At 37.1% G+C, this 12050-nt stretch overlaps 1 annotated feature.

Annotated features, from left to right (window-relative positions):
• Positions 3261-3941: an enhancer, noted in NCBI's record as "OCT4-NANOG hESC enhancer chr8:50629145-50629825 (GRCh37/hg19 assembly coordinates)". NCBI's record gives its function as "activates a minimal SCP1, AML or CMV promoter by ChIP-STARR-seq in naive and primed H9 embryonic stem cells {active_cell/tissue: H9 hESC(naive and primed)}" and the evidence as "EXISTENCE:reporter gene assay evidence [ECO:0000049][PMID:30033119]".

The following is a 12050-nucleotide window of genomic DNA, read 5'->3' as shown; positions in this document are numbered from 1 at the left end:
GCCAAGTAAATAACACCTTTTTGTTTTATCAGAAATCTAAATTGATACACTTATTGTTTAAAAAAAAGTATAATGATTATCCTTGTCAGAATAATCTATGTCAAAGTTTATCATTCTCTTTAAAAAATTTAAAGACCTACTTCATTGTCCTTTTGGTCAATATCTTTTCTTTGAGATATTATCTACTGCTTCAATATTAGAATTTATTACTTTTTATAAATATTGTAGGAAGCCAAGGTACTAGGTAGGATGTTAAGTGATTACCATTGAAATGCATTGTATGCACCAAACTTATTACAATTTCGTGACTGCTGTATCACAATTTAGGCAGTGTTTTTAGGGGATTCATTGTGCAACCTTGGACATATCAAAGCCTTATTTTGAAAATCATGTGTTATAATGCATGTCAATGTGTTTTTGAAAGTGTGAAACAATAAAGGCAATTTTTTCTTAAATGCAAGAATAATTTTAGAGAGCAGTATCCTATGTAAAATATATGCAAATACATGCAAGAGTTATTTTAGTGAGTTCTAGCTCATGAAAAAAAATCACACAAGCACTCATCCCCCCTAGGAAGTTAACAAAAAAGTCATGCTCAGCTAATATATGTAACTAGAAATGAAACTTCTTTGGGAAATATCCATCTCTTTCTGTTAAGTCTAAATACTACAGACTCGCACAGTGCTGAAATACGTCAATTAAACTTAACTGTCATGTACCACTGGTGGTGTATCAAGTGGGTAAAAACTCGTTGATAGTATCTACGAAATCTAAATATGTATGTATTCTATGATCTCATACAGGAATTCCATTTCTAGGTAAATATTCAAATGAGACTGATGCATATGTTTATCAAAAACATTTATGAGAATGTTCATATTGCACTGGTCATAATTACCTCAAACTTTAAAGTATCCTAATGCCCACTAACAGTTAAATGATGATAAAGTTGAAGTACATTCACACAATGGGTTACAGCAAAGAGAAGAATGACCTACAACTATAGACAGCAAACATGAATAAATTTCAAAACATAACACTCCACAAAATATGCCATGTACAAACACATTTTTATATGAAATTATATAAAATACAGAAAGAGGCACAATGAATGTATGCAGTTAGAAAGCAGGATGGTGGTTACCCTTCGAGAGTAAGGGTTTGATCAGGAAGCAGCATGAACCTTCTCATGTGCTTTTTTTCCTGAATTTGAATCCTGGCTCTACTGCTTACTAGCTAGTGACTTGGTGAGCTATGTGAAAATCTCTTGGCATCAGTTTCCTCATCTGTAAAATAGGGATAAAAATAGTACCGACTCCATGAGGTTGTCAGAAAATTGCCTGGCATACAATGAGTTCTAGATAATACACAATGACCTCTGTTAATTATTTTCTCTAGACAGTTATATTCTTAAAACCAGGGGTGATTATCAAAAAAGGATGTTAGATTTAACCATCATATTGTGTATTTTTTGAAAAGATCATGTTCATATATTAATTATAAATAAAAATTAATTTGTAATATGAATATTAAGCAAAAGACAAGCACTGCCCTTTAGTTTATGTGCATTTGAGCCTAAGATTAGGTTTTATTATATAAATATAAGTATAATTTTTTGTAATAGTAAGCAACTCAAGCCTAGCAAAAATACTACTTCTATTGCTACTCAGTTAGGAAACATATTTGTATATTTAAAAAGCTAAGTGATTTGTACGTGGACACCTAGATAGAAAAGCAAACTTAGAATGAGGTTTCTGATAATGAAGGTTATTGTTTTTTCCCTCTATAGATAGAGAGAGAATATTCAAGCAATGAACAGAGCAGAGATGATAACAGAACCCTGACCCCCAGCTTGGTGGCGATCAGCACAGAATGATCAGGACGTGGTCAAAAATTGCAGTCTTCCCCATGTTGTTGTTGTTCTTACTTTCAACTTGGAACCAGACAGAGAAAACTAAACATACTCCTCTAACCAATCACTTAGGATGTCCAGCTTCTAGTTGGAAATAGAAAATCATGTTTTTACTTAACCTCCTAAGTTCGTAGTTGAAGCAGAGTCCTGCAATGAAAGACAGATTCACAAGATAAAAACAGTTTATTAGCGTTGTCTTAGTCCATTCAGGCTGCTATAATTTATAGAAAATAGAAACTTATTTCTCACCGTTGTGGAGGCTGTTAAGTCCAAGATCAGAGCTGAGCAGGTATGTTGTCTGGCTAGGACTTGGTCTCTGCTTTGAAGATGGCACTGATGCAGCTCTGATGAGTGGAGGAGCACCGGGGCTCTTGTCTCACGTGAAATGGATAAAACCACACGGACACACTTGGAGTGGTTTTAAGGAGCAGAAAGTTTAATAGGCAAGAAAGAAAAGAGAAAAATGAAGGAAGAACCTCCCCTGTACAGCGACAGAGGGATGGGAGCTCCAAAGCCAAGAGAGGAGACCCCAGTGCCTTAGAAACGTGGCTACTTATATGAAGAGTCTGGGGGAGGTGGTGTCTGATTTGCATAGGGCTCAGGGGATTGGTTTGGCCAGGCCTGTCGCTCACATAGCCCTCCCACCCTAGCCTTTTAATATGCAAATACAGGGTGCCATGATGTTCTATATAGTGGGGATATGTGGGGGCGGCCATGCTGCCAGACACATGTGAGGGCAAGGGCAAGAAGACACTGATGGGAATCACCATGTTTGGGTGAACCCAGTTTCTAATGGCTGGGATTTGCATATCAAAGGTAGCCAGCCTGGGTCTAAGAGCCTGGGCTTTCCTGCTAGACAAGAAACATTTCTGGAGCTGCTTTAAAGGAAGCGAAAACTTCTTAAGGACCCCTTTTCCTCTCTATCTGCCTAAAATAATTTCTTAATAACTCCTAAAACAGCACCTTAATAACTTCCTCACATGGCAGATGGGGCAAGGGCTAGAACACTTCCTCCAACCTTTAATACAAGGGTATTAATCTCATTGAAGAGGGCTTCACTCTCGTGGCTTCATCACCTCCTAGGAGCCTACCTTTTTATACTATCACATTGGCTATTAAATTTGAACATAATGAATACTGAGGGGATACGTTCAGACCATAGCACATGAATAGTTCGTATACATGGGACACGCCCTGGGAATGAGTAGTTCGCAAAGAAGTAAGCTTTGAATTCCAGCTTATATAGCATATTTAGTAAAGGACAGAAAAGTTTTAGAGAAGCAGCAAGACAAAAGAAAAAGACTTTGAGTCTCTAGGGGTGGTAGACTTGTGGGGGAGAGAAATAACTGGCATATAACGGCAAGGGGGTAATATTTGTCACTGCAGATTCCTCTAGTATCACCTCCAGACTGATGAGGGCCTAATGTCTTCCCTAGTCAACTTCTGTTCTCTTTGGTAGAGAAAGTGCAGAATATCATTTGTCTTTGTAAATCTGTGTCCTGCTTTTGGGCAGATAGAGAGAGGGAAAACTTTACTGCATCTGCTTCTTGACTGCCTTCAGCTCAACAATCCTACATATTTTGGGGTGAATATTCTGGCCTCCCACACTAGTCAGCTGCCTTCATCTTTCATACATCAGCAATCACAGCATGCCTGTGGCCTTCCCTTTTGCTCACTAGAAAGCCTTCTTGCCCCACCTGCCTTAAGTGACTTTCAAATGCAAGTGAAAAGGTTTACTCCCTTCTTACAGCAAGCTCTCAGCAAATAGACTCTTTTTGTTCTCATTTAATTGGTCTTTCTTTCTACAGAATTGACCACTGTTAAAACCAACCTACATAATAAGGAGATATTTCAATCAGGAAAAAAAGAAAGAAAGAAAGAAAGAAAACTGCTCCAGAGATGTTGTTTCTTACTAAAACTTTCTTCTACTTTGGCTGTAACCTCTATTTCAATATAGTCTTGGGTATAGTCTTAAATTGACAATGAATCCTAATTGATAAAAATTTCAGTTTGATCACTTGTCTCTTTAATAGTTAATTTGTAGTATTCTTTTCATCACATACATAACATGCCCTGTCAATAGAGTACATTATTAAATTTTTGGTATATTCTGGAGCATAAAAATTCTTCTGTATCTTGAAAACCACACACATCTGTAACCACAAAATTTATTGTCTTTTCTGTATTAACATGATGCAGTTAAGCAGTGAATGTGTATGGGTCTGCAGCAACCTTGATTCTTGCCTTCTCCAGTGAAAGAATTCGACTGATGGGTATAAGGCAGAAGGAGAGACTGAGGCAGCTTTAGAGCAGGAATGAAAGAAAGCAAAGTATACTTGGATGAGGGCTAGTGGGCGACCTGAGGGATCAAGTGCATGATTGGACCTGTCACTTAGGGTTTTATATGTTGGCATGCTTCTGGTGGCTTGCGTCCCTTCTCCCCTGTTCCTTCCCTTGGGGTGGGCTATCCACATGCTCAGTGGCCTGCTAGTACTTGGGAGGGGCTTCATAGGCAGTGTGTAACTGGAGCTGTACACCTGCTCACTTGAGGCGTTCTTCCCTTACCAGCCAAATGTTCCTAGAAGGTCATATACCAGTTAAACTCTGCCATTTTGTCTCTCAAAGCGTAGTCCTGAGCCCACTCACCCAGCTCTTGAGATCTTATTGGGAAGCTGTTGATCACCAGTTTCAGGTGTTTTCTATCTATCAGGAGGCTGCCTTTCCCTGGCCTGCCTGCACCAATTATTATTTTAGAGGAATAGTGTAACAACTGCCTGACCCTCACCTGATGGTTGCCTGACATTCCTGCTTATGAGGAGTCCTCTCTTGACCTGCTCATGACTGACTAGCTACCTACTGTAACAAAGTTATTATTCCACTGCCTTCATCAATCATACTTTACTATTCCAGGAATTACTTTACTGGGAAGACAAGCATTGCCAATAATGTTCCTGCTCATTTTAGGAACCTCTTAAATAACCCATCAAGTGTTCTCTGTGCTATGTTCGCCAATCCTAACCACACCCCTACATTGGCAGACCTACCTTAAGCCACACTATAAAATCCTAATAAATACCACAACGTTGACCTTTCCCTCTCTGAGATGCTATTGGAACTTTATGCTCAGAATTGTCTTTCCACAAATTGTTTTGGTGATATTTTGGGGAGTCAGCATTTGAAAACCATAAACCAAGAGACTTTAACTTCTTTTCATTCTTTTATACATTTTAGTTTTATATTATAATATTTCTGATAGCCATGACTTCTATATCTTTGATTTTTTAGACCAAAGCTTTTTGAACTTTTCTAAAATTTACAAATAGGAGCCCATTTTTATATTAGACTCTTGGAAAAGAGGAGGAAAACAACCCTCTACATATGATTATGCATGTTTCTCTTAACAGAATAATCACCCAGTTTCCTTAGTTTAGACATTAGTAGGTTTTCTCAATAACAGATTTCTCAAGCTGAAAGGTCTTTCCTCCCTTATTTTTCTGTATTTTCTAATTTAATAACTGATTTGTTCCCCACCTACGTAGTCAATTGCTTCTAATGGTCTTACTACTAACTTTCAGGTTCTCCTTGTTTCCCAGTTAACTGGTTTTAAAAAGAACATATTTAAATATAATAGGTCTTTGCAAATTTATTTCTTACACTTTAAGAAGAGCTTAGAAGCTTAGAACATGAGCAGTAGACAGTGTTCAGGACTGGTAGACTTTTTCCTCATCTTTATATGGATCCTATGGGTCCTAGAGTAACTTGTTTAATGACAAAGGTAGGACGCAGAAATCAACATTTGTTCTCCAAGCAACTCAAGTGATTCTGATGCGACTAAGAAACACTAATCAATATAATATTTAAACTTCTTTTAACTGTTCACAACATTTTGATTATATATGCTTGAAAGTATGTTTAAACAATAAATTATTAATTCAAATTAATGGAAGCTTATCATTAGCTAAAAATTAAAGGTCCATGTAAACTAAATTTTAAATTAAAGGTCCATGTAAAATAAATAAATTTTAATTTCAGTTTTAAAGGATTAAATTAAAAGTGAAGAATAAAAAATGAGAGATTAAGATAAAAGAAAGAAAAAATAAGATATTTTGAAGAAAGTAAAATACTTGCAAGCATATACTCTGGCTCCCATGAATATATGTATTGAAATTATTATGTTATCCACAGTTTTGACTTCTCTTGTTATTATTCTGTCAAGAGAAACAAGTTTGTTTTTTGTTTTTTTTCTTAGCGTAGAATTTTTGAGAGAGTTCTAAAAAATCTTCCCTTTCCTTTGTTTGAAGTAGAGTCCAAGCATTTTTTTTCATGACCCCTTCTGTTGATTACCTCTACCATGACTCAGCCAGTCATTATCTCATGTTTCCATAATACGTGTTGGTTGCCATCTGTTATTCACGAAACCATGTCCTGCTTACTCAAATCACCTTGCACACGGCTACCAGTGGAATTTTCTTAAAACAAAACAAAACAAACAAAACTCACTCTCATTGTGTCTAGAAATGTATTATGACCTCCATTTGGCCCTCGTTGTGCCCTTCTTAACTCCAGGATCTCCAGGAAGTCACTCCGAGTTGGATTTTAACAGGTAAGGTGTTTATTAAGGAATATCCTTGATATCAGAACCTGTGGAAGGGAAGGAAGGAAGCTGGGCTGGGCAGAGACAGAAGTATAGCTGAAATTCAGGCCCATGGACAGGTCAGACAGCCCCCAAAGTTGCTGTAGAGGTAGGTGTGGCCTCCATAGAGTGAGAAGTGCAGGCCTATAGACTTTGGCATTCATCAGTCATGGAATGTAGCCTGCTGTGGGAAGGCATATGGCTATTACTGGACAAAGCACCTCTCTGCAGCTCAGACAATTTTGAAAGGGCTAACACTGAAGACCCTCTAGCAGCTCTGGTGAAAATTTCATCAGAAAAGATCCCGGAAGCACATCTCCAAATCCACAACTGACAGTTCCAAATGTGAGGATTTGTTTTACCTTCAGAAGCAATGAATATGCTTGTCTTATAATGCTTTCACAGAACCTACAAGAATTGTAGTCTCAAATACCTACAGCTGTAATAGGTGCAAAGTGGTTTTAAGAAAGGCTTGGCATCTGCTAACTCACCTGGAAGCTACTACGCATGGTTTCGTTCATATTCAGCCAATAGATCCCAGTCAAATGGCAATGACCCAGTGCTATTTTATGTTTTATGAACTGGCTCCTCTTGTGAAATAAAACTATAAACCCTGGGAAAAACACAGGATGAAACTAAAGAATTCTAAATGCTGGTAGAGGAAGGTGAATGCACTTGTGAGCCCAGTAGAGGAATAGTAAGGTATCAGTGCCTCTCCTTTCCCCTTATCCAGCAAAACAAGATGACTGAGACCAGGGTTTTCCTGACATCCAACCTGGTAACAGCAGGCTGAACTCATTCTCTTGATGGAATGGGAGTTCCTCTGACAACACCAGATGAACTAAGTCCACAGGCAGGAAGATCCATCCGGAGTTCCTTTAACCAGAAGTAGGTAGGAGAATGGCTCTATTTCTCCATCAGCCTGAGATTTTCTGCTCTCAACTGAGAGATATTAGGAGCGCCAAGTGACATAGGCAAAGGGAGCCCCACTAATGCCTAGCTTAGCATGCACTCCCAACCCCCGCAGGCAGGGAACCTAACACAAGTCCTCATGAAAAGATGACCTTTCATTTTTGTAGTCCTGAGATTCTCCTCCCCCTCCCCTTTTCTGGGGAAATCTCTTCCACCTTTCAGGTTGCATCATTAGAGAACCATGGAAGGTTGAGCAGCAGCAGACAAATCAAGCGCACCATAAAGATACTGAATATTAGGCTAAAACTGAAAGTTTTTCAAAATTAAACACATCATATTAAACTTCTAAAAAAGAAGACCATAAAAATATAGAAAACAAAGACAAATGACACATTGCCTATAGGAAAACACAGATTTCATTTAACCTTCTTTTCTAATTTTTTATAACTTTCATTTTAAGTTCAGGGGTAGATGTGCAAGTTTATTACATAGGTAAAATAATGTCATAGGGATTTGTTGTGCAGGTTATTTCATTACCCAGGTATAAAGCCTAGTATCCACTAGTTATTTTTCCTGATCCTCTCCCTCCTCCCACCCTCCACCTTCCAATAGGCCCTGGTGTGTGTGTTGTTCCCTCCTGTGTGTCCATGTGTTCTCATTATTTAGCTCCTACTTAACAAGTGAGAACATGTGGTATCTGGTTTTCTGTCCTTGTGTTAGTTTGCAGAGCATAATTGCCTCCAGCTTCTTCTATGTCCCTGCAAAGGACATGATCTCGTTCTTTTTATGGCTGCATAGGATTCCATGGTATATATGTACCACATTTTCTTTATCCAGTCTTTTATTATCAATAACAGTAATTAATAATAATAATAATCTTAGGGCATTTAGATTGATTCCATGTTTTTGCTATTGTGAATAGCCCTGCAATGAACATATGTGTGCATGTGTCCTTATAAAAGAATGCTTTATATTCCTTTGGGTATATATCCAGTAATGGGATTACTGCATCAAATGATATTTCTGTTTTTGAGGAATCACCACACTGCCTTCCATACAGTTAAGTAATTTACACTCCCATCAAAAGTATATAAGCATTCCTTTTTCTCCACAACCTCATCAGCATTGGTTATTTTTTGACTTTTTAATAATAGCCATTCTGACTGGTGTTAGATGGTATCTCATTGTGGTTTTGATTTGCATTACTGTAATGATCAGTGATGTTGACCTTTTTTTACATGCTTGTTGGCTGCATGTGTGTCTTATTTTGAAAAACATCTGTTCATGTTCTTTGCCCACTTTTTTTTTTTTTTGAGACAGAGTCTCACTCTGTCACCCAGGCTGGAGTGCAGTGGCGCGATCTCAGCTCACTGCAAGCTCCGCCTTCTGGGTTCACACCATTCTCTTGTCTCAGCCTCCCAAGTGGCTGGGACTACAGGTGCCCACCACCACGCCCAGCTAATTTTTTGTATTTTTAGTAGAGACGGGTTTCACCATGTTAGCCAGGATGGTCTCGATATCCTGACCTCGTGATCCGCCCGCCTCGTTCTCCCAAAGTGCTGGGATTACAGACGTGAGCCACCGTGCCCAGCTCTTTGCCCACTTTTTAAGGGGGTTGTGTTTTCTCCTGGTAAATTTGTTAAAGTTCCTTATAGATGCTAAATATTAGACGTTTATCGGATGCATAGTTTGCAAAAATTGTCTCCTATTCTGTAGATTGTCAGTTTACTCTGTTAGTTCTTTTGTTGTGCAGAAGCTCTTCAGTTTAATACAACTTTATTTGTCAATTTTTGCTTTTGTTGCAAATGCTTTTGGCGTCTTTGTCATGAAATTTTTGCCTGTGTGTATGTCCTGAATGATATTGCCCAGCTTGTCCTCCAGGGTTTTTATAGTTTTGGGTTTTACATTTAGTCTTTAATTGATTTTGAGTTAATTTTTGTAAATGACGTAATGAAGGGGTCGGGTTTCAATCTTCTTCATATTGCTAGCCAGTTATACCAGCACCATTTATTGAATAAGGAACCCTTTTCCCATTGTTTGCTTTTTTCAGGTTTTCCAAAGATCAGTTGGTTGTAGGTGTGTGACCTTGTTTCTGGGTTCTCTATTCTGTTCCATTGGTCTATGTGTCTGTTTTTGTACCAGGACCGTACTGTTTTCGTTACTGTAGCCCTATAGTACAGTTTGAAGTTGGGTAGCCATTATGCCTCTAGCTTGGTACTTTTTGCTTAGAATTGCCGTGGTTATTCAGGCTCTTTTTTGGTTCCATACAATTCTGTAATAGTTTTCTGTAGTTCTGTGAAGAATCTCAATGGTAGTTTAATAAAAATAGCATTGAATCTACAAATTGCTTTGGGCAGCATGGTCATTTAAACTATATTGGTTCTTCCTATCCATGAGTATGGAATGGTTTTTTCATTTGTTTGTGTCATTTCTGATTTCTTTGAGCGGTGGTTTGTAGTTCTCCTTATAGAGATCTTTCACCTCCCTTGTTAGCTGTATTCCTAGGTATTTTATTCTTCATGACAATTGTGTCTGGGGATTTAGGGAAAAACAAATTTTAGTGAGAGTGGATCTTCATCTCATAAAATTATGCTTCAGAAACAGAAGTTAAGAAAAGAAGAAGGGAAAAAAATGAAGTACTTTGTTGCTAACAAATCTACTGCTAAAGATGGGCTAAGGAAGAATGCCAAACACAAAGAAAATAGTAAAAGAAAAAAGTATGGAACATGAGGAAGAAATAAAGACCAGCAAATAGAGCACACATATGGGGACACATTTCTATGTTCCTGTAGTTTTTCTCTTGACTTCTGTAAATCATATTTATTGACTAGAGCAAAAATTATAACATCTAATACTTATGACAATGATACTTAAAAGTTGGGAGGGTAAATGGACCTAAATGGAAATGAGGCTTCAACACTTTACTTCAAGTGGTATACAATGCTGATATACATGCATTGTAACATCCAGAGGGACTACTACAAAAAATGTAGAGAGGATATGCAAAATATACATGCAAAATGCATTCAAAATTAAACTATACGATGAATATACAAAATATGTATGCAACAAAAGAATCTCACAATACAAAAAAAAATCTGCAATGGCTGAAAAAATAGCTGAATTCACATTATAGTTGGTTTATTAACACTTCTCTCTCAATAGCTGACCTAGTAGACATGGAAACTCCAAAGATATAAAATATCTAAACCATATAATAAACCAACAGGATCTAACTGGAATATGTAGGACACTGCCCCCCCCAAAAAAGATGAAAACACATTTTCCCAAGACCATGTGGAATTTTCACTAACATATGACATATCCCTAAGTCATAAAATAAATATCAACAAATTTAAAATAAGCTAATTTATTAAAGTATGACTATAATAAAATCAAGCAAGAAATCAAAAAATCATCAGGAAAACCTGTAAACATATGGAAAGTAAACAGCTTACATTTATGGAATCCATGGGGCACAGATACAGTCTCTAGGGTTGTAGAAAATACATAGAACTGAATGAAAATGAAAATATGATATATCAAACTATGTGGGATGCAACTAAAGCAGTGTTGAGGGGTAAATTTATAGCATTAAGTACTAAATACAAAGACAAGGTCAAACTCTCCTACTTCACAGTTCCTACTGCAAAAAATTGGAAAATAGTGCAAAACAAAGAGAAATAATAAAAAATAATAACAGAAATTAAAGAAATTAAAACATATAAAAACTACAGAGAAAATATATAAAACCAAAATTATTTTTAAATAGCAATAAAACTAATGTTTCTAGCAAATTATTTGTCTAGCAAATCAGAGAAAAATGATTAAGATGCAAATCACTAATATTAGAAATGAAACAAGGGATGTTGCAACATATCTTTCAGCCATTAATGTTAATAATAAGGAAATACTGTAAACAACTTTATGCTCAACAAATTCAACATTTAAGAGGAAATAGACCAATTCCTTAAAAAAAGACAAAATACCAAAATTAACCTAAGTAAAATAGATAATCTAAATAGTTCTATTACAAGCAAATGATTGAATTCAGAGTTTAAAACTTCCACTCAATCTTCTGGCCCCAGTGATTTAACAGGAGAATCCTACCAAACATTTAAAGAATTAACACCAGCTGGGTATTATTGCTTACACTTGTAATCCCAATGTTTGGAAGCCTGAGGTGGGGATATCATTTGAGGCCTGGAGAACAAGTCCAGTCTGGGCAACATAGCAGGACCCTGTATCTGTAAAAAAATACACACAAACAAAAAAGCCAGATATGACGGTATGCACCTGTAGTCTTAGCTACTCAGGAGGCTGATGTGGCAGGATAACTTGAGCTCAGGAGTCCAAGGCTGCAATGAGCTATGATCACACCACTGTACTGCAGCCTGGGAGACAGAGTGAGATTCTGATTCTTTAAAAAAAATTAACACCAGTTATATACGATATCTTTGAGAAGACTGAGAAGGAAGAAACACTTTCAATTCATCTTGTAAAGATATTTTTGCTCTGACTTTATCACCAGACCCAAAGACATCACAAGAGAAGAAAGTCACAGAGCAATATATCTCATGAACATAGATGAAA

Source organism: Homo sapiens, chromosome 8 (genome assembly GCF_000001405.40).
Source record: "Homo sapiens chromosome 8, GRCh38.p14 Primary Assembly".
Classification (NCBI taxonomy): Eukaryota; Metazoa; Chordata; class Mammalia; order Primates; family Hominidae; genus Homo; species Homo sapiens.
The sequence above is the reverse complement of the archived record's forward strand: the minus strand, read 5'-3'. Positions and strand labels throughout refer to the sequence as shown.